The 25,796-nt window shown below is 38.1% G+C and overlaps 1 protein-coding gene and 1 pseudogene across 8 annotated transcripts in view, besides 1 other annotated feature; both read left to right on the forward strand.

The window, feature by feature from the left end:
• The window catches only part of BEND6 (BEN domain containing 6), a 72,240-nt gene extending 57,859 nt beyond the window's left edge, over window positions 1-14,381 (forward strand). For 2 of the 8 annotated variants that reach the window (XM_017010406.2, XM_017010407.3), the window contains exons 4-6: window positions 2,168-2,388; window positions 4,242-4,434; window positions 5,456-5,589. In XM_017010406.2, the coding sequence (XP_016865895.1) occupies window positions 2,168-2,388; window positions 4,242-4,434; window positions 5,456-5,583 (542 nt within the window). In that variant the 3' untranslated portion in view covers window positions 5,584-5,589. The other 6 variants (NM_152731.3, XM_005248889.2, XM_047418320.1 and 3 more) reach the window with 6 other exon arrangements.
• MRPL30P1 (mitochondrial ribosomal protein L30 pseudogene 1) lies at window positions 16,472-17,101 on the forward strand (annotated as a pseudogene).
• Window positions 17,302-17,802: an enhancer, noted in NCBI's record as "H3K4me1 hESC enhancer chr6:56895065-56895565 (GRCh37/hg19 assembly coordinates)". NCBI's record gives its function as "activates a minimal SCP1, AML or CMV promoter by ChIP-STARR-seq in primed H9 embryonic stem cells {active_cell/tissue: H9 hESC(primed)}" and the evidence as "EXISTENCE:reporter gene assay evidence [ECO:0000049][PMID:30033119]".

The raw sequence follows: 25,796 nt of genomic DNA on the forward strand, positions 1-25,796 counted from the left end.
CTTAAGTTGTCAGATGAATCTTGACTTCCTCAGAGAAGCCCTGCTTGCCCCACCCAAGTCAAGCCCTCCCATTCCCCATCCTGGGTCAAGCACCTGATGCTTCTTCTTTGTGGCGTTTAAGAATTGTGATTTTTTATTTTTTGCATATACCTCAAGTAAACCAAACTGCAAAGTTAAGGGCAGTGTCCTCCCCACTGCCAAGAGTGCCTAATACTTCTGACACCAACTACACGTTCAGGAGTTTCCCAAAACCACCCTCATATTCAATAATTTGCTATAATAGAAAAACTCACAGAACATTTGTTACAAGGAAAGGATACAAATTAGAATCAGCCTAAGAAAGAGGGCAGAGTCTGGGAGGTTTCCACATACGTGAGGCTTTGGTTGTCTCAGGATGCCTTATGCCCATAGCATCTATATGTGACAATACACATAAAGTATTGTCTATCCAGGAAGCTCACCAGAGCTCTACTGTCCAAACTTTTTATTGGAGCTTCATAATGTAGGCATGATTGATCGGTTGATTGACTGCACATGTGGTTGAACTCAGTCTCTAAATCATATGGTTGGTCTTTCTGGATTTCAAGCTGTGGCCAGCTGCCACCCTAAGGCTATTGCATGACTTGGCCCCACCGTGAGTCAGCTCATTAGCATAAACTATCAGGCATGGTCCCAGGAGCTCATGATGAGTGGCGAAGATACTCCTGTCAGTCAAGAAATTCCAAGGAACAGTTACTTCCCAGGAACTGGGACAAAGGCCAGATCATTCTTTGAGCAGGGCAAAATTCTTGCTACACAGCCTGGTTTGTAAATAAGTCTCCCCTTCACCCCTCAGACTGTAAGCTCCAAAACGACATGGATCACATCTGGTTTTGCTCCCAGTTTTATCCCTCACACCTAGCGTAGTGGTTGGCAAATACTGAGAATCTGTGTAACATGGACTTGGGAGGCAGCCAGTCTGAATTTGAATCTTGGCTCTTCTCTTCACTAACTATGTTTGACTCTGGACAAATTACTTTACTTCTTCTTGCCTAATTGACTTCATCTGGAAATGGCAGGTAAAGATAATACCTATCTCAGAGAGTTGCAATGAGTATTGGATGAAAGAACATCAGTTAAGATCTCAGAATAGTGCCTAGCACAGAGAAAAAATAAACTAGATAAATGTTTAATATTATTAAATGCTCAATAAGTAATTACTGATGGAATAAGTGTCTGGTACATGAGAGGTGCTTAATAAATGTTTTTGAAAGAACAGAAAATAAGATTTTCTTCTTTAGTAGATTTTCCTTTAATATAGTACCAGATATACCGATTTGCACATCATTAATTATTCTAAAATTGTAGCTCAATAATATGCTTAAGAAAAGTACAAAAAAAGTTTCAGAGTTTTTTCACCTCTCCAGCAGGCTGTGCCCTCAACCATATAGTGAGGAACTGAATTAGACAAGGTTCAAGATCTCTTCCAACTCCAACAACATGTTATTTGTCCTTAGGAAACAAACTAGATATAACAACAGAGAAGACCATTTTACATGGAGGCATGAAAACTTTGAATGTGTAAGTTTCCATTTGAAAAAAGGAACAAAGAAAATATTCCATTGATTACCAAAATTCATCTTTAATATATCACAACACAGGTTTGAATTGTGGCAGTGCATTTTTAATAATTTGATGAAATTTGACTCCCTTGTAAACCATACACGAAGGTCATAGAAAATTTATTTTCATCTTTGAGAAATGGCTAGTTTTATCTTGGCACATAAACAGGCCTAATGTGAGCTTCTAGAAGGTGATTGATAATAGAATCAGTAATAGCTCCAAACAAGAGATTCAACTCAACACCTTCAAATAAAACCCCTAGCAACTAGAAAAAAAAGAATCAACTTTTAAAACATTCTTTTTAGTTACAAAGTAATGCATATACATTTAACTGCAATGACCAAATGTTTTTAATTGCTTTATTATTATTAAGCAATTACTAAATTATTTAATAATAAAAGTAAATATGTTCCAAACACCTTTCCTGCCATGTTTATTTTCCAAAGATAGCAAATGTTAAGTTTGTTCTGCATATTTCTATGCACATACACTCAACAAAAAAATATGTACATATGCACCTATTATCAATGGTATTTGTAAAGTGTACTTTTTCTTGCCATTTTAGTGTTACCACAAGCAGTCACCCAGTTTGAAGAATTGGTTGGTATGGCCGAGGCTCTGCTTAAGGGTGGGGGAACCATGTCTACATCTGCATCCACCCTCTGGAGAGCAACAAACAACTCCTCGCCAGATTCATTTGCCTCAACATGCAGTAATTCTAATTCTAACTCCAGTTCACCAGTTTCCTTAAAGCCTGAGGAAGAGCATCAGACTGATGAGAAACAGGTCAGTTGTAATACCCGCCTTATTGTTCTTTGGAATATGCTTAAATAAAAAATTTAAATAAGGGTGGAAAATGATCATTGTTTTATCAGATAACTATTGGATAAAATAGTTTTATTCAATAGGAATATTACAATTCTTAAGTACCACAAAGAAGAGGCATAAGGTGGCCAGGTGTGGTGGCTCACCCCTGTAATCCCAGCACTTTGGGAGGCTGAGGCGGGCAGATCATGAGGTCAGATCGAGACCATCCTGGCTAACACAGTGAAATCCCCTCTCTACTAAAAATACAAAAAAAAAAAAAATTAACCGGACGTGATGACGGGCACCTGTAGTCCCAGCTACTTGGGAGGCTGAGGCAGGAGAATGGCATGAACCCAGGAGGTGGAGCTTGCAGTGAGCCGAGATCGAGATAGTGCCACTGCACTCCAGCCTGGGCGACAGAGCGAGACTCCGTCTGAAAAAAAAAAAAAAAAAGAAGAGGCATAAGGCGCTTGACCTAGCCTGAGGAAAGGGAAGGCAGGGCTTGACTTAGGAGGGAGAAGAAGGTCTTCTCTGAGGAAGTCAAGATCAATCTGAGAACCAAAGGCATAAAACTGTTGTCCTTTTATAATAAAAACTAATATTTGTAAAACAAATACCCAGTTTAGAAAATTAAAGCAAATTGGGTACAAAGATAAAGTTATTAAACTTTAAAATTCTCATACCAGTGACAGAAGGATACCTATGCATTCAGGGTTATACAATTTTATATCATTGAGAGGTAAATTTCAGCCTCAGCATGCTGGCTGAACACAATTCTTTTTCTGTTTTTGTACTTAATCAAGACACAGATGCTAAAAAGACAGGAGTTTTGTTAGAATCAGGTAGCCTCAGTAAGTATACCATCAAAAATGATAAATATTAACTAACAATCTGACATTCAAAATATTTGAATCTTAGTGTATCAGTTACCTATTGCTATATAACACATTATCACAAATTTAGTGATTTCAAATGACCCAAATTTATTATCTTAGAGTTCTATAGATCAGAAGTCTGGTACAGGTCTCACTAGACTGAAGTCAAGGTGTTAGCAGGTGCATTTCTTTCTGAAAGCTCTAGGGCAGAATCTGTTTCCTGCTCATCCAGGCTGTGGTAGAATTCATTTTCTTGTGGTTGTAAAACTGAATTCCCCATTTTCTTGCTGGTTGTAAACTGAAGGCCATTCCTACTTCTAGAAGCAATCACATTCCTTGGTTCACAGCCCACTTCGGCCATCTTCAAAGCCAGCAACAGCAAGTGAAGTCCCTCTCACACTTCAGATCTTCCCTCCCTCTTCTGTCTCTTTTTCCTGATCTGCCCTTCTGCTTCCTTCTTCTGCTTTTAAGAACTCATGTGATTAAATTGGGCCCACCTAGGTAATCCAGGATAATCTCCCATCTCAAGGTACTTAACTTTAATCACATCTACAGAATTGTTTTTGCCCTGTGAGGCAACGTGTTATAGGTTTCAGGGATTAGGATGTGACCTTTCAGAGGGCCATTATTCTGCCTACTACATTTACGATGAAGCACTGAGTATGGGACTAAGCCTGAAAGGACCAAATCCAGTTTACATGACAAGAATTTGTATACACCCTATAACAAATACCTCATAAATATTGAAGAGTATCACAAAGATAACATTTAAATCTAATCCCTGACATGTAAAATATATATTAAATTAAAATGTAAAATATATATTAAAATATATATATAATATCTTACCTTAAAAAATGTTGACATTGTTTTCTTTTATGCCTTAACTCAATTAGTAACATATTTCTCCATACAGCACTTTCTTTTTCCAACTTCAACTCTTTCTTATCTTTTTAGTTCCAGATTGAAAAATGGCAGATTGCCCGTTGTAACAAGAGCAAGCCTCAGAAGTTTATTAATGATTTAATGCAAGTACTTTACACAAATGAATACATGGCCACTCACAGCCTGACAGGGGCAAAATCCTCTACTTCAAGGGACAAAGCTGTAAAACCAGCTATGAATCAGAATGAAGTCCAAGAAATCATAGGTGATAATATGATTGCGTTATATTGTCGTATGAATTTTAAATCATGTTACCACTCAAGGTCAAGATAGTCTTTCATGGTCCTTTTATTTTTTAAAGTTTATTTTTCTGGGAAAGAAAAATCTTAGGATAGTCTAAAGCTCTCATTAAATATGGGAAATTTTATAGAAAAACTTTACATTAACAATGGTTATTAAAATGAAACTAAGTTTTATATCACCAAAAGGTTTCAATTCATACAATTTATAGCTTTGGAAATGTAAATTTTCACAATCTTTTAAAGTAAAATTTCAATAACAATTTCTTCCTTGCTTTTGTTATATGTCTTATCTTTCATTCCAGAAAGATAAAGGCTAATTTGACCATCCTATTTATGGTTTTTAAATTAATGAATCTCCTTAAATATAATCTAGATTATCCAATTAATTTTTTGGCAACATCTGACAAATGTAAGGATTCTCTGAATCCTAGCTCTATATATGTCATTTCTTAACATACAACAATGTCTGTCTTCCTGAAACAAAAAACTGCTACTTCTAACAACTGCAATGAAATTCTTTCCCTTGGCTCACACATGCTGTTAGACTGACTTTAAAAGTTAGAGAACATGGCTGGGCGTGGTGGCTCATGCCTGTAATCCCAATGGTTTGGGAGGCTGAGGCAGACAGATACAGAAAAAGATCAGTCAGAGTTTAGTTGTTTCAATTAATGTTGGAAATGGATAAAAATACATTCCTAACATTTTAGAGCAAGAGGACTTAGAGTTTAAAGCAAGTAGGAGGATTAAAGTTAATCACTACCATAGGATCTCAGTTGATAATATAGACCTTCTGATATCTCTTGCTTTACTTAGAAAAACCTGCCTATATATTCATCTGTTTAAATAGCTCATGGGTGTTTGGGCTACTTTTGTAAAATGGAAAAAAAATTATAATGTAGAATACTTGATGTTTTACCTCAGTTCATACCCTAAGATGCAAAGCACTCATGAAGTTTCTCATGTGTCGCTATTGGTTTTTTACAGGAGTAACAAAACAATTATTTCCCAATACGGATGATGTTTCAATTAGGAGAATGATAGGGCAAAAGCTAAACAACTGTACCAAGAAGCCAAATTTAAGCAAAAATCTTAACTCTCAGGATATTAAATAGATCCTTTTGGTAAGTCTTTTAAATCTTCAGTCCTTTCAATGTGGCAAGAAAATGTCATAATACTTTTATTTTATTGGAATAGCATTTTCCAATCACTCTACTAGAAAATACTAGTGACCCATGAAAAGCTAATAGGTATTCCTGGTGGCAAAAGGGGAGAACTGGGAGTGGGGTTTGAATTGGAAAATGCTGGGTTCAGTTTTTCTTCCTCAGAACCTCTCAGATATTTTGATGCCCTTTTAACATGCTCATGTGCACCAGAAATCTCTAAGAAAGGGATATAGTATGTAGTGTTTTCCAAATGTGTTTTACTGAGGAAATTTTTTCACAGAATCCTGTTAACTTGGTGGGGATAGAAAGGAGCCAAAGGAAGGACACATGACAATTTAAGAAGTATTTCTCTCTAGGACAGAGGAGATTTAGACCCTTGGGAAATCTGAAGTACATCGATGAGACTGAACTTACAGCTAGCTCTAACAGTGGTCTGACAGTTGTGCAAACTATTGGCTGAAGTGTGCAGCGTTCTTCTCCACCATCCTACATGTTGCTTCGCATGGTCTTTAAATTTTTAAATTAGTTGTTATTGTTTAATAAGGATTTTTACCAAGATGCATGTCCTATACTAAGAAAAAGAATAATTTTTTAGTGAGAGTTCTAAAGTAAATAGACTTTCTAGTCAAGCCTTGACCCAGGCAAAACTGTGAAGTGGAATTTTGCCACCCACTATCCTGGCTAGCTCACTTTTACTTACCCCTCCTCTCTCTCAACTATTTTGATGGAAAATACGTGAAACCATGTGTATGACGTGTTAAAATTTTCATTGATTAATAGAGGCATGTGGGTAACACATGAGGGTAAGGCCCACCACAGATATTCCTTTTTTCTTTCCATTTTCCTTCCACTTCTATCTTTGACTTGTACTTTGCCTGTCTTCTGCCTAATACCAGCCACTTTCGAGACCATTTTACTTGACTTCATTTCTTCTGACCATGTTTTAAATGAGATGTGGAGCTGAATGTAATGCAGTAATCCCCTGCCCCAAACGCCCTACATGTTACTGACTACCACTCCCATCCTCCCCCAAGAGTCCCTTATCTATTTTGCTACACAACTAAGACCAGCTCTGCCGAGAGTCAACAATGTCTGTCTTCCTGAAACAAAAACATAAACAAATCAAAAAACTATTACTTGTAACAACTGCAGTGAAATTCTTTCCCTTGGCTCACACATACTGTTAGACTGACTTTAAAAGTTAGAGAACATGGCTGGGCATGGTGGCTCACGCCTGTAGTCCCAATGGTTTGGGAGGCTGAGACAGACAGATACTTGAGCCCAGGAGTTCGAGACCAGCCTGGCCAACATGGCAAGACCCCATCTTTATAAAATACGGAAGAAAAAAAATTAGCCCAGCGTGGTAGTGCACACCTGTAGTCCCAGTAACCCAGGAGCCTGAGGTGGGAGGATAGCGAGGTGGAGGCTACAGTGAGCTGTGATGTTGCCAGTGCACTCCAGCCTGGGGGACAGAGTGAGACCTTGTTTCCAAAAAAAGAAGTTATAAAAGATAAGGTTACCTGTATCTTTTTTCTCCAAGTGATTATAAATTTCAGTAGATTGTGACCTCACAACTTTTCAATTATTAGATAATTGCTTAAATATGCCCTTAGTACTTCCTATTTTGACATGAGGTTACCCACCCAGTTACCTTGATGTATAATGACCAAGTTCTCTATTTTTTTTTTTTTTTTTGAAACAGTGTTCTCACTTTGTTGCCCAGGCTGGTTTTGAACTCATGAGCTCAAGCAATCCTTCCACCTTGAACTCCTCAAATGTCAGAAAGCACTCCACCCAGTAACTAAGTTCCTTGTCTTTTCTTTTTTATTTTTCATTTTTGAAACGGAGTCTTGCTTTGTAGCCCAGGCTGTAGTTCAGTGGCGCGATCTCTGCTCACTACAACCTCCACCTCCTGGGTTCAAGCAATCCTCCCGCCTCAGCCTCCCGAGCAGCTGGGACTACAGGCCCGCGCCACCACACACAGCTAATTTGTGTATTTTTAGTAGAGACGGGGGTTTCACCATGTTGGCCAGGCTGGTCTCGAACTCCTGACTTCAAGTGATCTGCCCACCTCGGCCTCCCAAAGTGCTGGGATTACAGGCGTGAGCCACCGTGACCGGCAATTTCCTTTTCTAAATGGTATGTTACCAGACCTCCAAGTCAAGTGGCTATCTTTTGGGGCACACTGTTATATTTCAGAGGTCTGTAAAGCATTTTGATATCCTAAACTCTTGTTTTTTTTTTTTTTTTTTTTTAATATTTCTGACTTCCAAGGATAGGCACAAAACTCATCTCTGACTATATCAGCCAGCAGAATGTTAAAGAAGTGAAAGTTAAGAGATTTTTATATCAGTTTTGCTTGTACTTAACAATAGAAGTGTTATTAAATCTGCTAGCTATGGCATTAATTAAAATTGAAACAAGGAACAGACATTTTGCTATGAACTTTGTGCCTTTTGAACCTGAGCCTGACTTAATAGTGCCAAGTTGTTTAGACTGGAAATGCATGTATTTTGAATCAGTAATGGAGATTAGCTAGAATGGAATTTTTTAAATTTGCAAATATCTTTCATTTTAAGTATGGTTGAATTCAAATTATTGCAAAAAGGACTGAGGAAAATATGCTGGAAAAGACAGGGTCAGGTAAGACCTAATTTGGACATGCTTGATAAATTAATCAGATATAGCACCATCTAGTGGAATACTGTTATATTTTTCTGTTCTCAGTCATTTAACTCACAGGAGCCTATGGCCCTGCCCTGCCACCAAAAATATTCTTTGAAAAACTTACTTTTCTAGCATGGTCCCTGTGGTAGACCGTGCCCTCCACTCAGTCCTGAGCTCAGGTTGTCACTGGTGGCTTAGATTTAAAAGGGTAACAATTTCCCAGCTATGGCTCAGGTCTGTGAGGGTAAGGCCTAAATTCCTCCCTTTTTTTAATATATTCTTTCTTATTCCTGTGGCTGCCCTAAAGTTGCCTGTAGCTCTCACATGCAAGAGCTTGATTTTTTTCCAGCCTGTCTCCATTTTTTACTTCTTTCTTGCAGGCATTGAAGAAAAATGTATTTATAAGATTTACAGAATATTAGGCTATCACCTCTATAACATCCAACTAAGTGACCAAACTGCCTTCTCCTGAAATTTCCAAAGCGGCCTCAGGGTATATAATCTCTGGCGTAATGTTACATAACATATATTATAACTTATAGGTGATCTAATACAGTGGTGCTAAAATGGTGGGGGGCGGCGGAGAGGGAGGTGTGATTTAGCCACCTTCCTCCAACGCAGGGTATTTAGGAATGCCTGGAGATATTTTTGATTGTCAAAACTGGTGGTACTTCTGGCATCCGGTGGTCAGAGGCCAGGGATGCTGCTAAACATCGTTGTTGAATTTGGTTTGCTAGTATTTTGTTGAAGATTTTTGTATCTGGCTCATCAGTGATGCTGGCCTGTAGTTTTGTTTTTTTGTTGTGCCCTTCTCTGGTTTTGGTGTCATGGAAATACTACTTTGTAGAATGAGTTTGGAAGTATTCCCTCCTCTTCAATTTTTCTTTTTTTCTTTTTCTTTTTTTTTTTTTTTTTTGAAGAATTAGAGCAGAACTGGTATTACTGTCTCTTCAAATGTTTGTAGATTCAGGGGTAAAGCCATCAGGTACTGGGCTTTTCTTTGATGGAAGACTTTTTATTATAATTTTGATCTTGTTACTCCCTATTGATTTGTTGAAGTTTTCTATTTCTTCATGGTTCAATCTTGCTAGGTTGTATGTGTCCAGGAATTTAACCATTTCTTCTAGGTTTTCCAATTTGTTGGCAAAGAGTTTTTCATAATACTCTCTAATGAGTCTTTGTATTTGTGTGGTCTCGGTTATTATGTATCCTTTTCCATGTCTCATTTTATTTATTTGGCCTTCTCTTTGTTATTTCTTAGTCTGGCTAATGGTTTGCTGATTTTCTTTGTCTTCTAAAAACACCAGTTTTTTCTTTCATTGATCTGGTTTTTTAAATCTCCTTTTTTGTTTGTTTGTTTTTTGTTTTTTGGCTCTGATCTTTATTATCTCTTTCCTTCTACTAGGTTTAGGCTCCGTTTGTTCCTGCTTTTCTAGTTCTTTGAGGTACACCATTAGGTTGTTTATTTGAAGTCTTTCTACTTTTTTGATATAGGTGTTTATTGCTACAAACTTCCATCTCAGTACTGCTTCTGCTGTATAGTATAGATTTGGGAATGTTGTATCTCCATTTACATTTGTTTCAAGAAATTTTATACTTTTTTTCTTAATTACTTCATTGGTCATTCACGAGCTTGTTATTTAATTTCCATGTGTTTGTGCATTTTCTGAGACCCTCAGGTTATCAGTTTCTAGTGTCATTCCATGGTGGTCATAAAAAATACTTGATATGATTTCTACTGTTTTGAATTTATTGAGACTTGTTTTGTGGCCTAGATATAGCCTATTCTGGAGAACGTGCCATGTGTTAATGAAAACAATGTGTATTTTATAACAGTTGGGTGAAATATTCTGTGAATATCAGTTTGGCCTATGTGATCTATGGTGTACTTTAACTCCAGTGTTTCCTTGTCAATTTTCTGTCTGGAGGATCTGTCCATTATTGAGAGTGAGGTGTTGAAGTTCCTCAGTATTATTATATTGCAATCTGTCTCTCCCTTTAGATCTATTAATGTTTGCTTTATATACTTGGGAGCTCTTGTGTTGTGTGCATAGACATTTTAAACTATTATAGCCTCTTGCTGAAATGACTTCCTTATTATTATAAGTGACCTCCTGTGTCTCTTTTTACAGTCTTTGACTTGTACCTGTTTTACCTGATATAACTACTTCTGCTCTTTTTTGGTTCCCAGTTGCATCACGTATCTATTTCTACACCTTCACTTTCAATCGATGTGTGTCTTTATAGGTGAAGTGGCTTTCTCATAGGCAACATGGTAGTTGGGTCTTGTTTCTTTGCATTCAGCCATCCTATACCTTTTAATTGGAAAACTGAGTCCATTTACATTCAATGTTACTATTTTTCTTTGAGGCAAGGTCTTACTCTTGTCCAGGCAGTGGTGTGATCATGACTCACTGCAGCCTCAACTTCTTGGGCTCCAGCGATCTTCCTACCACAGCCTTCTGAGTAGCTAGGACTATAGGCACATGCCACCACACCTAGCTAGTAAGCTAGGATCTCACTATGTTGCCTAGGCTCAGTGTTATTATTGATCAGGACTTACTACTGCTATTTTGTAGCTTGTATATTTTCTAACTCCTCTCTTCCTTTCTTCCTTTTGTACTGTCTTCCTTTGTGGTTAAATGATTTTCTCTGGTAATATGTTGTAATTTGTTGCTTTTTATTTTTAGTGAATCTATTAAAGGTTTTTGCATTGTGGTTACTATGAAGCTTATAAAAATATACACATAAGAAGTTGTTTTTAAAAGATGACGATTTTTATTACAAAGAAGTTTTAAAAAAACTTTATAAAGGGGTTTCTTAGGTCTACGGTTTAATTGCATTCACCCCACATTTTGACTTTATGTTGTCTCATTGACATGTTTTTATATTGCCTATCTCTTAATAGGTTGCTGTAGATGTTATTGTTTTGATACATTTGTCTTTTGAGCTTTGTAGTGGTGTTATGAGTGGATTGTAAATGACAATTACAGTTTTAGATAATTTTAGGTTTGTTTGTATACTTAATTTTACCAGTGGGTTTTATACCTTCAGATGTTTTGTTCTTGCACATTAGCATTTTTGTCTTTCAGACTAAAGAGCTCTCTTTAGATTTCTTATGAGACTGTTGGTGATGAATTCTCTCAGCTTTTGTTTCTCTGGGAAAGATTTTACATATCCTTCGCATTTGAAAGATAACTCTGCTGGATACAGTATTTTTGGATGACAGTTTTTTTTTTTCCTTTGAGCCCTTTGAAAATGTTGTTTCACTCCTTTCTGGCCTGCGTGGTTTCTGTTGAGAAGTCTATTGCCAGGTGAATTTGAATTCCTTTATATGTTAGTTGCTTCTTCTCTCTGGCTCCTCTTAGAATCCTGCTTTGTCCCTGATGTTTGAGAATTTGTTACATGCTTTTGGGTAGTCTTATTTGAGTTGAATGTGTTTGGTGTTCTCTGACCTTCCTGTACCTGGATATTTAGCTCTTCCTCAAGTTTTGGGAAGTTTTCTGTTACTATTTTTTAAAAAGCACTTTCCACTCCTTGCTCTTGTGTGATTCCCTCTTGAATAATAATAAGTCTTCGATTTGGTCTTTTGAGTTAATTGTCTGTATCTTGGAGGTGACCTTCATTCCTCTCATTCTTGTTTCTTTTTGCTCCTCTGACTGTATATTTTCAAAAAGCCTGTCTTTGATTTCACAGGTTATTTTCTCCACTTAATCCATTCTGCTGTTGAGAGCCTCTAATGAATTTTTCAGTTCAGCAAATGTATTTCTCAATTCCAAGATTTCTGTTTGATTTTTTAAATTATTCCTATCTCTTTGTTAAATATCTCTGATAAATTTATGAATTGTTTTTCTGTTTTCTGGGAGGTCACATAGTTTCCCTAAAACTGCTATTTTGAATTCTTGGTCAGAGAGTTCACATATCACCGTCTCACTAAGGTCAGTCACTGATTTCTTGCTTTGTCTGTATGAAGAGGTCATTGTTTCCTGTTTGCTATTATTTCTTGTGGATCTACATCTATGACTTTGCATTGAAAGACTAGTTATTTATTTCTGTCTTTTTGGTCTGACTTGTTTTGGTTTTTATTGGATATGTTTGCTTATTTGTAATATACCAGTTGATTTTCTCTTTTTTCCCAACTAGGTCACTGCCTCCTTTTTGGCACTAACTGGTGCCTTAAGCCCAAGTTTGCCTCAGTTCTAGCCAGCAATCAGAGTGCTGCCTGACCTGAATGGGGGATGTCCCAAAGAGGATATCCTGGTTATGTGAAAAGGCTGGCTAGGGATCCATGCTCAGGGGACCTGTGGAACACACCTCTTACAGTGTAGTCCTGCTGAACAGGCACTCTGATTTGGTGCCTCAAGATGATGAGGAAGCTCACTGTCCACCTTGATCTCACTTTTTGCAGTGTAGAAACTGAGTCAGGAAGAAATTTTCCTTGTGTTTGATGCTGGGGATATTAGGGGAGAGGATTATTGTGGATAAGGAAGCCTGAATCTCTTACCACCTGCTTGGAGCTTTTCGTTTTTATTTTTTAACTTCTCTGTGGCCTGGGAAACTGTTTCATCCTCTTACTTGAGTTCTGGGATATTGCTGGTGAAAATCTTGGCACTGTATGTTTGTTTTTGGTTTTCTGTGATAGGGAGTGAAGCCAGCTTGCTTCTACACTGCTATTTTGGAACCAGAGTCCCTCAACAATTTGTATTTTTAATACAAATTTGTAGTAGATACAAAAACAAATAACTCATATAACTGTTAAAATACTACGAGAATGTTAACATAAATTTGTATTTCTTTGAAATTTGCTTTTTGTAGGTATTACAGGTATCTGAAACAAAGCACCTTCAATTCTAAATCTAGCACTGGATTTTGTTGGAGAATCTGCAGCCTTCCTGGCAGTGAGAAAGACAGACATGTGCAGTGACAGGCTGTAAGACATATGTAACATTGCTGAGCTCTCCTAAGGGACCAACAAGCTTGCTGAAGAAGCTGCATGTAGATTCCACCCTCAGTACTAGTGATGCATCAAACCAGAGAATTTCTGCCAGTCAAATAAGCATGCAATATGGTTTCTTTGGAAATAAGCATTTCCCAATCCCCAAATACCCCTCTGTACAGTTAATCTAACAGGATAGTCAGAGCTCTTATCATAGCAGCCAAAACTTCAGCCCATAGGTTAGTCATTGTCCTAACCAATCATTGTACATTGATTATTACCAGTGACTTCCCATTATAGTTTTTGGATCTTTAGCATAAGCACATGCTTGCAAAAGTAAACAGTGAAATAATTAATGTTGGCAAATATGAGAACAACAAAGTCAGCCCAAAATCTGATAATCATGTCTAACCAAGTAATAATGTTTTAGCAATAAAATTACAGGATTATTCTGTTATCTAAAAATGTATAAAATGGGAATATGAAAAAAATGACAACAGCAAGATGTTTTATTTTAATGTTAAGCAATTCCACCACACTTCTGAAGAATAAACCTAAGTTTTTGTGATTGTTAAAACAATGCATCAATTTTCAGGGAAATCTTTTTGTTTGTTTATTTACCAGACATGTTCTAACTTTGTATTGCCCAAAGTATATTAAATACAGATGTGTAATATAAAGCATCAATATCACCTAACACATCGTATATAAGATATAACATGATAGATAGTTGGTCGATTACATTGCTATACTGCTTAGTTTTAACTGGTTTATTTTTATTGTAGCAGAAATGAACTGAAAAAAAATATGGGTTTGATAATCACACACATGAAAGTACCATTTTGTAACTCAACAAAAGATAAAACATTCTTCATCAAAAGGCTTCTCGCTTGGTGTCAGGTTGTCACATGTGACCACTGTGCAATGCGAAGCCATACTTCTTCAGTGCACAAAGTCATGTTTAAACTTGGAAAAGAGGATGCTACAGTAGTTTCAAAGTTCAGTGTTGTGGACCCAGGAAATTTTCCATAAGTCTTGCTTGATAACAATGTGATTGTACAAAATAAATGTTCTTAAGGAAACAACTTATGTAACATTTGCTACCTTTATGTAAACATAAATAAATCCCATTTAAAAGATAAAACTTATTTTCTTGTTTCTTTATTAATGCATAAAAATTAGGGAAATATTTTTTTCTAGGCTGATAGCTTTTTCACTCATCCATTAAGGCATTACCATTACGATTTGACTATGTAGCTCTGACTCATTTTTCTTGTAAAGAGCCATGCTATGTAGGATATATAGACAACGTCCAGGAAAGTAAATACATTTAATATTTTTATTGAGAAAGGATAATCTTACTAAGATGTATGCTATTTGCTTTATTAAAAATGCTACTTGATAATGTAAGTTTTGCCTACTAAAGGTAAATAAAATTACTTTTGCAAAACATAACCGTATTATTCAACTGGAACTTGTATGGTCTTTTCTTATGTATTTTGAAATATGTTGATATCTTTATAGATAATAGAATAAATGTATTTTTTATTCATCTTTGTAAATTGGTTCTAAATGAGTTACAGAATAAGAAAACTAATAAAACTGAAGAGAGTGCCCAGCAAGCAATTCATATACATGTATGTGTCTATATATATATATATTATGTATTCACATGTATAATACTTAAGAATATGGTTAAAGCAGAATCTTTAATAAGTAGGGAAAGGAAGGTTTATTCAATGATACTGAGACAACTAATAAATGGAAAACATTGTTATATTCCTACTTCAAATCATATTACATAGAAACTTTCAGATGAATGAAAAGCAAAAAATGGACTCAGATGAAAAAACTTTTAAATGCAAGAATATTTTTATGTTCTCTGAATAAGAAATACATTTTCAATACAAAGGTAGTTCAGCCAAAATGCCGAAGAAAACACTTACTAACATGAGTTCCTACATGTGTGTTCTGTGATTTTCCTACACAGAGGTGATCATTTCACTAAAAACTTTACCCTGTGGTGGATATATGACATGGTCAGCATTCTCGCTAGTTCTGTGAAATCATCCTTCTTGCGAATGTTTTCATGCATTTATCCATTTTTCCAGCTTTATTGAATTGTTTCTTATAAAATCTTTGTATTGATGCTGCACTATAGTCTTTCTTGAACACTTATTGTTTAATGACATAGTTTTTCCTGGACCAGCAATTTACAGGCAGTTTCATGGATGGTAGGAGACGCCAGGGTTTTCTTTTGGGCTTTAAACCTTGCAAAGGCCCTTTCTTTGCTGTCACAGAGACCAGTGATCCTGACAGGTATGGCTTTTCTGGGAAATTTTTTTGTGCATCCTTGCTTCCTCTAGTTCTCTGATCTAAGCTGAATTTGAAAGGGTTTCTGTCACCAGCCCTGCACTTCCCAGGCCCTTCAGGACCTGTAAACAAAGAGCAAAGCCCTTGGCCGGGCATGCAACATCACAAAACCGTCTTTACTAAAAAAAAAAAAGAAAGAAAGAAAGAAAGAAAAATTAGCTGGGCATTGTGGCCTGTGCCTGTAGTCCCAGCTACTTGGGAAGCTGAGGTGGGAGGATCACTTGAGCCCAGGAGGTCAAGGCTGCAGTGAGTTATTGTGGATGTCATGGGCTCTTGACCCCCATAAAGATTTGCTAAAAATCACTGAAACTGCCTTTGCAAAAATCATAACTGAGGAAATTATGACAGTGAAAGAGATCAGACCTAACTGACCCCATCTTCCTTCTAACCTCTAAACTGTCTGTTCATTCCTGGGCATAGGCCGAACTAACCTTGGGAAATAATTTATAGTTTAAACTCTGAAACAAAATTGATAATAGCCCTTTCCCAAAAAACCTCTTCTTGCCTGGCCACCAGTCTGCTTTTGTAGGACTAACAAATTAGCTACAAGATTAGAAATTATGGTTTAGGGGCCATGCAGCCTCTGGCTGCAAGAGTCTGAACCTCCCCCAAATTCCTCCTGGGAATAACATCACTGTTGCAAAACCTAAGATCAGTACTTGAGATATTTTGCAGACCCTGCATTGCGATGCAGCAGATGACACCACCCAGACCAACAATCTGGCTCAACCAGTTCTGCAATCCCACTCAGGAACAGAAGTCAGCAAGAACTCACTTTGACCCCCTATGATTTCATCTGCAATCTGACCAATCAGCACTCCCCACTTTCTGAGCCCATACCCGCCAAATTATCCTTAAAAACTCTGATCCCGCCCTTCGGTGGAAAAGTTCAGTCTGAACGTTTAGCGAGTGCTGCCTCTAAAGAGAGCAATCACTACACTTACGGCTGAGACTTTGCGCTTAGTAGTTCAGAGGCCCCCAGGCAGACTACAGACCGTGACAAAAGGTGTAGAGTCTCATTTGTACAGATTGGATTCGTCACAAATTCACCAGATCAAAAATTCCAGATAAAGTGTTTCACGCCTCACCTGAAGATCATGAAAAATATGGTGGGGATCCACAGAACCCTCATAAACTGCATATTGTTACCAGAATAAAAAGTACAAAATACGTCCATATTGGGAAAAAGATATAATAAAGAAGCTTGGATTGGAAAAATCACATATCCCTCAAGTTCACCAGAATTCCCTTCAGTGAATGCAAAATTGAAAGTGGTTAAGCATTTGATAAGAATTGAAGTTGCCACAAGGACTTCCAACAGAGGAGAACATGTCTAACACATGCCTCAAAAGCACTGGGGAGTTAGTAGTGCAGTGGCATCTGAAACCTGTGGAGTAGAAAGCACATGAGTCCTAGTGCCCTAGCAGCTTCCGATTGGAAAATGCAAATTGTTTTTATTTAAAGATGGTGAGAAAGTGTTTTCATTAAAATATGTTTTAAAAACCATTTTCAGGCTGGGTGCGATGGCTCACCTGTGGTCCCAGCACTTTGGGAGGCCAAGGCGGGCGGGATCACCTGAGGTCAGAAGTTCGAGACCAGCCTGACCAACATGGAGAAACCCCTGTCTCTACTGAAAATACAAAATTGGCCGGGCATGGTGGCACATGCCTGTGGTCCCGGCTGCTCGGGAGGCTGAGGCAGGAGGATCGCTTGAGCCCGGGAGGCGGAGGTTGCCTTGAGCTGAGATGGTGCCACTGCACTCCAGCCTGGGCAACAGGACGAGACTCCGTCTCAGGGGAAAAAAAAATTTTCACTGACTAAACCTGCTGCAGTTCTTTTTTACTACAGACTTGGAGATTTTAGTTTAATTTGGTTTAATTCTCTGTCCTTTCCCTTTCACTGTTTCACTCCAAAACGGGTAAGAATGGCATTGTTTGAACATCTACGTTTGGGTCTACTGCCACCTTAGCAAGCCTCATTAACTGTTTTATAAAAATTGCGTTATTGTTGTTGTTGTTTTTGAGATGGGGTCTTGCTCTGTTGCCCAAGCTGGAGTGCAGTGGCATGATTTCAGTTCACTGCAGCCTCAACCTCCTGGGCTCAAGTGATCCTCTTGCCTCGGCCTCCAGAGTAGCTGGGAGTGCAGGCAGTGTGCCACCACACCCAGCTAATTTTTGAAAGTTTTTTCATAAAGACGGGGACTCACTATGTTGTCCAAGCTGGTCTCTAACTCCTGGGTTCAGGCCGTCCTCCCGCCTCGGCCTCCCAAAATGCCGGGATTACAGGCACGAGCCACTCTACCCAGCCAAAATTGTTTTCTTTTTTGAGTGAATTCAACAATTTCTGTGAGTGGCTCTTTGCATGAACACTGCAATGTGTTGAAGAAATCCAAAGCTGACCAAAATATGATCCCCACCTTTTGGAGCTTACAGTCTGTTCTGGGGAACAGAGATTCAGCCAAAGTCAAGAAACACTGGATGCTAGCTAGATTATCTGTTCTGTGCTTTAGTGTCTATAAGTACATATGTGGGTATGGGTTCATTTTATCCCTAAATTTAGTACCAAACCAGCATTTGTTTCCTAATTATAAATCTAATTTGGCCTAAACTTTATTATTGCACACTGCCTGAACAAAACATATTCGTCACTATGTAAATTTTTTCCTCATGGAACAAGGGTGTGAAATGAAAATATTTTAAGATTTATTTAAAAACAGACTATTCTGTTTTCAGCTTCAAAATTTTTCTTTGAATCCTAAGGAAACTCTGTCAACAGTTGAAGTTGCTATTGAAAAGAAAAAAGAAGGAGGCAGAAGTCTCTCAGGGATAATTATTTCCTTCTTTTTCTATTTCAGATACCTGGTGGGGTGGGGAGAAGTAAGAATTGTAAGGGAGGTTCAATAGTGGGAAATTCTGTGACAGCTGATTGAAGATGATGATGAAGAACCTCTGCATTCTAGTTACCCTTTGCTTTCCTTTGCCTCTTGTAAAATTTGGCTTGGCAACAATGACATTGCCATGCTTACTGTCCCAATATCCATCCTGTCATAGATCTTAATGTTTTTGATCATTGCATTAAAGTGGAAGTGCCACCCACAGTGAAACCAGATCCCATAAATAAATAAGCTTAAAGGCAAAAAAAAAAAAAAACCAAAAAAAACTCTGATCCCGAATGCTCGGGGAGACTGATTTGAACAATAATTAAACTCTGGTCTCCCACACAGCAGGATCTCCTTGAACTACTCTTTGGCCATTGCAGTTCCCCTGTCTTGATAAATCAGCTCTGTCTAAGCAGCAGGCAAGGTGAACTCTTTGGGCAGTTACATCACTAACATGAGGCAGATTGATCAATAGTAGAAAAAAGCATCCAAATTTATTTAACAGGTATACACAGGAGTCTTCAGAGTTGCTACCGGCGAATCCACAGGGGTCCGCAGCAACCTCAATTTTTGCCTCCTCAGGAGAAAGAATTCAACTGAAGGGCATAAAGTAGAAGGAGAGACCGAGGCAAGTTTCAGAGCAGGAGTGCAAGTTTATTAAAAAGCTTTATTTAGAACAGGAAGGAAAGGAAAGAAAAGAAGGAAAGTACAACTTGGAAGAGGGCCAAGTGGGCGACTCGAGAAACCAAGTTCACCTCTTCCCATCTTTAATATTGCGACAATGTATCTGAACCTATCTTTTGGCACTTACCTCTTTTTCACTAGTATTAAGTAGTATTATGTGTATATCAATTCCTCTGATACAGTTTGACTGACTGTCTTCATGTCTGCATGAGTGTGTATTTATACTTGTTTATTTATATACCATTGATTTCCAAAAGAAGAAATATTGGCAGCAGTTTGCAAAGGAACTACTATACTGGTTAACATAGATGTTGTGACTGAGTTAAATTTGAGTTTCTGAGGTAAAAGTTATAAGTTACATAGTTGTTTTTATTTTTATTTTTTGAGACGGAGTCTCACTCTGTCACACAGGCTGGAGTGCAGTGGTGTGATCTCAGCTCACTGCAACCTCTGCCTTTCGGGTTCAAGCAATTCTCCTGCCTCAGCCTCCCCAGTAGCTGGGATTACAGATGCCTGCCACCACGCCCAGCTAACTTGGGTATTTTTAGTAGAGACAGGGTTTCACCATGTTGGACAGGCTGTTCTCAAACTCCTGACCTCAAGCAATCCACCCGCCTTGGTCTCCCAAAGTGCTGGGATTACAGGCGTGAGCCACCGCACCCAGGCAAATTACATATTTTATTAAAGAAACAAAGATGCAAGCAGTTGCTCAGTGAAATAAAGGTTTTATTGCATTAAATTCTGGAGGAAATTTTAATAAGGAATATCATGTAAAATTTTACAATGGACAATCATATTTGTTTTGCAGCAAATGTAGAAGATGTTGACTATTGTTCTAGACTAAAAATAGCATAGACTTGGGTTTTACTTCTGTTTCTGACATGTCCAAACACCATACCTTTGGACAAAATACCATTTTACTTGTCTCAGTTTAGTTAATTATAAAATAGGGATGATACCACTTACTCACAAAGTTTAGATTTGAATGAGGCAACTTCTATCAGGTATCTGTCAAATGGTGGGTTTAAGCATATCTTAATTTACATATATCTCTTCTTACAATGATTTTCAATAAAAACTCAAGGGCATACCGCTAGGTTTACCCGCAATGCAGGTAATTTTACAAGGGGCAAGCAAATATCTGCAAGGTTAATACCCTTCTGGGAGTTTGGTATAAACCAAAAGAACACTTAAGTAGCTGGCAGGGTAGATGGAAGACATGTGTCTTGAAATATTTTTCTTGAACTTTGGTCTGGAATGAGCAAGGGCAGCTTGGAGGTTAGAAGCAAAATGGAGTTGGTTAGGTCAGATCCCCTCCACTGTCAAAATTTTCTCACTGTTATAACTTTTGCAAAGGTGGTTTCATTTTCAGGAAGTATACTTTTATTGATGCTGTCTGAGATCTACCATTCATGAAGTACCTTGACATTCTCTTTGCATTTTTGCCCAATTTAACTTCCAACAGCAACTTTTAAAAGTCTTTGGATTCGGTAGAGATTTTCGGTCACTTACATCGCTAAAGATACCAGACCTGGTATTTTGTTTTTACTGTTGTTGTCCTGTTTTTATTTCTCTGTGTTGTTTTTTTCTTATTTCTTAGAGGAGCAAAAAGGTAAGAAAGTCCACTTTCATAATCATACGGGAGAGTTAGATCCAGTGCTGCTACTGCAGGATTGCTGGTAAAGATGACTGCTCAGTTAAATTTGAATCAGATGAAAAATGAATATTTCTCACTATAAGTATATCTCATGTAAAATTGGCATAACCTTACACTAAATAGTTACTCAATCATATGAAATTCAAATTTAACTGCGTGTCCTGTATTTTTATTTACTAAATCTGGAAACCCTATGTTACAATGAAGACTACCATCATTCTAATTCTCATTATTTTATTCAGAAAATGTTTCTCCATTCTCTCCGAGGCTCCTTTAATTTTTCTCTTTCCCCAATATAGTAGAATTTGATGGAAATTTGCTTTGTTGCATATCCTTTTTTATTAATTGCACTGGGCACATGATGGACCCTTTCAAACTGGATACTTACGTCCTTTAATTCTGGGGACATACAGAGACATAGACATAGATAGATATTTCCAGTATTCCAATTAATTTGTCAATTTGATAATAATATATTGATTCTGTTGACTTCTTATCTTTATAATTTTTTAATCTCCTTGCTTCTTTCTTTTTCCTGCTTTCTGGGAGATTTTATTACATATTTTAAACCAATCTATTAAATTATTTATTTTTCCATCAAAATTCTAATTTCCAAGAGTTTTTTCTTGTTCAGAGATTATTCCTTTTTCATAAAATTATAGGCTTATATGTGCATGCTGTAATGCTATAGACTGGATGTTTGTGTTCCTCTCCCCATCCCTCTGCAAATTTATATTTTAAAATCTAATCCCTAAATTGAGGGTATTTGGAGGTGGGATCTTTGGGAGGCTCTGCCCTCATGAATGGAATTAGTGCTCTTACAAAAGAGGACCCAGAGAGGTCCCTCACCTTTTCTGCCGTGGAGAACACAGCAAAAAAACAGCAGTCTATGAACCAGGAAGCACGCCCTCACCAGACACTGAATCTGCTGGCACCTTGACCTTGGACTTCTTAGCCTCCAGGACAATGAAAGATAAATTTCTGTTGTTTATACGCCATCCAGTCTATGATATTGTGTTATAGTAGCTCAAGCAGACCAAGAAAACTACCTGTATCTCTCTGACAATTTTTATTACTGCTGTCCTTCTTTTTGAAATATTTTTCCATACAAAATCTCTGTTTCACCCAAAATTTCTTCTTCTTATTATCATTTTGGTGTCTTTTTCCTTATGACATTCTTACTATAATATCTATAATTTTTGCTTTTTTCTTTTGTCTGATGGGTCATTAGATAGGAACCCAGCTGTTTTGTTGAGATATTCATACATATAAGCTTATACTGACAATTATTTATTGGGACTGAATATTTCTCCAAAATGATTCCATGGGTTTTCTGCTTGCTCATATTTTTCATACAGGACCAAGAAAGGGGGCTAGAAGTGACAATATTCCAAAACCAGACTTAAGTGTCTGCAGCTCCCCCATTTCCAGAAACATACCTGGAGTCATGGGCCTTGGGCATCTCCTATGACATTCATATAGGGAATGTCCTGTGAGTAGATGCCTTCCATTACGTCTTCTCCCTTTCCACCTGAACTTGTGTTGGTGACAATAAAGGTATAATCTCCACTTAAATCTAGGGAGAGTAGATTTTGAACCAGGCCAAATGCAGATTTGAGAGTCATATTTAAAGAATTTCTAAACCTTCAGGAGAATGAGATACATTTAAGAAGGAATTTTGAATAGTCCTCAGTACTAAAAGTCTCAGTTTCCCTGATTTAAGCCAATTCGTGCATTTATTAGTATGTCCCTCAGAAACAAGCACTTGATTATAAAAAATGAACTAGAGAAGGCCAGAAAATGATGTAAGTTCTCTAGAGAAAGATACATCTGAAGAACACAGGCATACCTTAGAGATATTGCAGGTTTGGTTCCAGACCTCTGCAATACGGTAAATACCACAACAAGCAAGTCACATGAATGTTTTGGCTTCCCAGTGCAAATAAAATTTATGTTTACACTGTACTGTAGTGCAATGAATTATGTCTTTTAAAAGTACATATCTTAACTTAAAAATACTTTACTGCAGCTGGGTGCAGTGGCTTATATCTATAATCTCAACACTTTGGGAGGCCAAGGTAGTAGGATCACTTGAAGCCAGGAGTTCGAGACCAACCTGGACAACAAAGCAAGACCCCGACCTTGTTTCTACAAAAAAACAAAGCAAAGAAACAAAAAAGTTTATTGCTTAAAAGTGATAACAATTATCAGAGCTTTCAATGAGTTGTAATCTTCTTGCTGGTGGGTGGTCTTGTCTCCATGTCGATGGCTGCTGACTGATCAAAATGTTGGTTAGTGAAGGTTAAGGTATCTGTGGCAATTTTTCAAAATAAGACAGCAATGAAGTTTGCTCTATTGATCATTTCGTGAAAGATTTCCCTATGGCATGTGATGTTGTTTGATAGTATTTTAACCACAGTGGGACTTATTTTGAAATCAGTCAATCCTCTTCAACTCTGACATGGCTTTATTAGCTAAGTTTATGTAATATTCTAAATCCTTTGTTGTCATTTCAACAATGTGCACAGCATCTTCACCAGGAGTAGATGCCATCTCAAAAACTACTTTCTTTGCTTATCCATAAGAAGCAACTCCTCATCTGTTCAAGTTTTATCATGAGATTGTAGCAATTCAGTCCCATCTTCAGGCTCCATATCTAATTCTAACTAAGATTCAAATTAGAATTAGAATTAACTCTAGAATTAATCTAACTCTTGCTATTTCCTCCACATCTTCAATGACTTCCTTCGCTGAAGTCCCAAACCCTAAAACTCACCCATGAGGGTTGGAGTCAACTTTTTCCAAACTCTTGTTGATGTTGATATTTTGACCTCCTCCTATAAATCACACATATTAATGGTATCTAGAACAGTTAATCCTTTCCAGAAGGTTTTCAATTTACTTTGCCCAGATCCATCAGAGGAATCACTCTCGATGGCAGCTATAGTCTTATGAAATGTATTTTTTTTCTTTCTGAGACTGAGTTTTGCTCTTGTTGCCCAGGCTAGAATGCAGTGGCACAATCTCGACTCACTGAAACCTCCACCTGCCGGGTTCAAGTGATTATCCTGCCTCAGCCTCCTCAGCAGCTGGGATTACAGGCCCCCACCGCCTTGCCCAGCTAATTATTGTATTTTTAGTAGAGATGGGGTTTCACCATGTTTGCCAGGCTGATCTTGAACTCCTGACCTCAGGTGATCCACCTGCCTAGGCCTCCCAAAGTGCTGGGATTACAGGCATGAGCCACTGCGCCCAGCCTGAAATGTGTTTCTTAAATAATAAGACTCGAAAGTCAAAACTACTTGATCCATGAGCTAAAGAATGGATGCTGTTTTAGCAGGCATGAAAACAACATTAATCTCTTTGTATATCTTTATAAGAGCTCTTAGATTACCAGCTACATTGTCAATGAGCAGTAATATTTTGTAAGAAATCTTTGTATCTGAGCAATATGTCTCAATAGTGGACTTAAAATATTTAGTAAATGCTTCTGTAAACAAATGTACTGTCATCCAGGCTGTGTTGTTTTTCCTTTCCTTTTTTTTTTTTTTCCTGAGACTGAGTATTTTGCTATTGTCGCCCAGACTGGAGTGCAGTGGCGTGATCTTGGCTCACTGCAACCTCCATCTCTGGGGTTCAAGTGATTCTCTTGCCTCAGCCTCCTGAGTAGCTGGGACTACAGGCGTGTGCCACCACGCCCAGCTAATTTTTGTATTTTTAGTAGAGACAGGGTTTCACCATGTTGGCCAGGATGATCTCAATCTCTTGACCTCGTGATCTGCCTCCCAAAGTGCTGGGATTACAGGCTTGAGCCACCACACCCAGCCTGTTTTTCCTTTTCTTGGAGGCAGTGACAGTGCTGAGAAAGCATCTCTTATGGAGCAGATGGGGTGGAGCGGGAGAGTGGTGGAGAAGGTTGGGGGAAGGAGAGAACAGAAGCTGCTGTAGAAAAGGAAAGAAGACCTCCAATGGATCCCTCTTCCCTGTATCTCTATGAAACACATCTTCAGCTGCTGGAAAAAGGGCATGGAACTCAGTCACCCTTCAGAGCCCTGGTGAAGCCCCATTGCAAGAAAGAGAAAGAAAAAGAAAAAACAATTACCCTGTAGGGAAATAGAACATTTATTGGGCTCATACCAACAGCTGGGAGAAAACTGGATCACTGGAAAGTCCCCACCCTGAGACTCAGGGGCACATTGCCTGAGATAGCGTTAATTAGAATAGAGAATGCCACCTGTCAGCCATGTGTGGTGGCTCATGCCTGTAGTCCCAGCACTTTGGGAGGTGGGCAGATCCTTGAGCTCAAGAGTTCAAGACCAGTCTGGGCAATGTGGTAAAACCCTGTCTCTATAGAAAAAAAATACCAAAATTAGCCAGGCATGATGACATGTGTCTGTGGTCCCAGCTACTCGAAAGGCTGAGGTGGGGGAATTAATTGAGCATGGGTGGTTGTGGCTGCAGTTAGCCGTGATGCCACTGCACTCCATCCTAGGTGACAGAGCAAAACCCTGTCTCAATGGCAACAAAAAAAAGCATCAAATAACAGGTAAGGGCAATCTACCCCTGGTCTGCTGGGAGAGGGCCAAGAGCTTGGGGGTGCGGCCTTTTCTAAGGAACACCAAAAAGAGAAGACCTAAAGTTTGAGGTTGGAGTAGACACTGAAATAAATCCTCTAGTAAGCCAGCCCCCAGCCTAAGCACAGAGCAATCTGAAGCCTGATGTGCAGTGAGAGAAGCATGACAACAATAAATTCCACACCTCACCCACCTCCTAATTAGACTGGTTCAACTCCACACACTAAAGGACTACCAGAAGGAAAGAAGTATTCATTTCGAAGCAGAAAACAATTAAACTGAGAGTTTTGATTTGGATCAAAATGGAAGTATTGAGGACTGGATTTACTCTCCCAACTAAAACACTATATAAAATATATGAAACAGCAGCCCTCAACATATTGCATGTCAAAC

Source organism: Homo sapiens, chromosome 6, assembly GCF_000001405.40.
Source record: "Homo sapiens chromosome 6, GRCh38.p14 Primary Assembly".
NCBI lineage: Eukaryota > Metazoa > Chordata > Mammalia > Primates > Hominidae > Homo > Homo sapiens.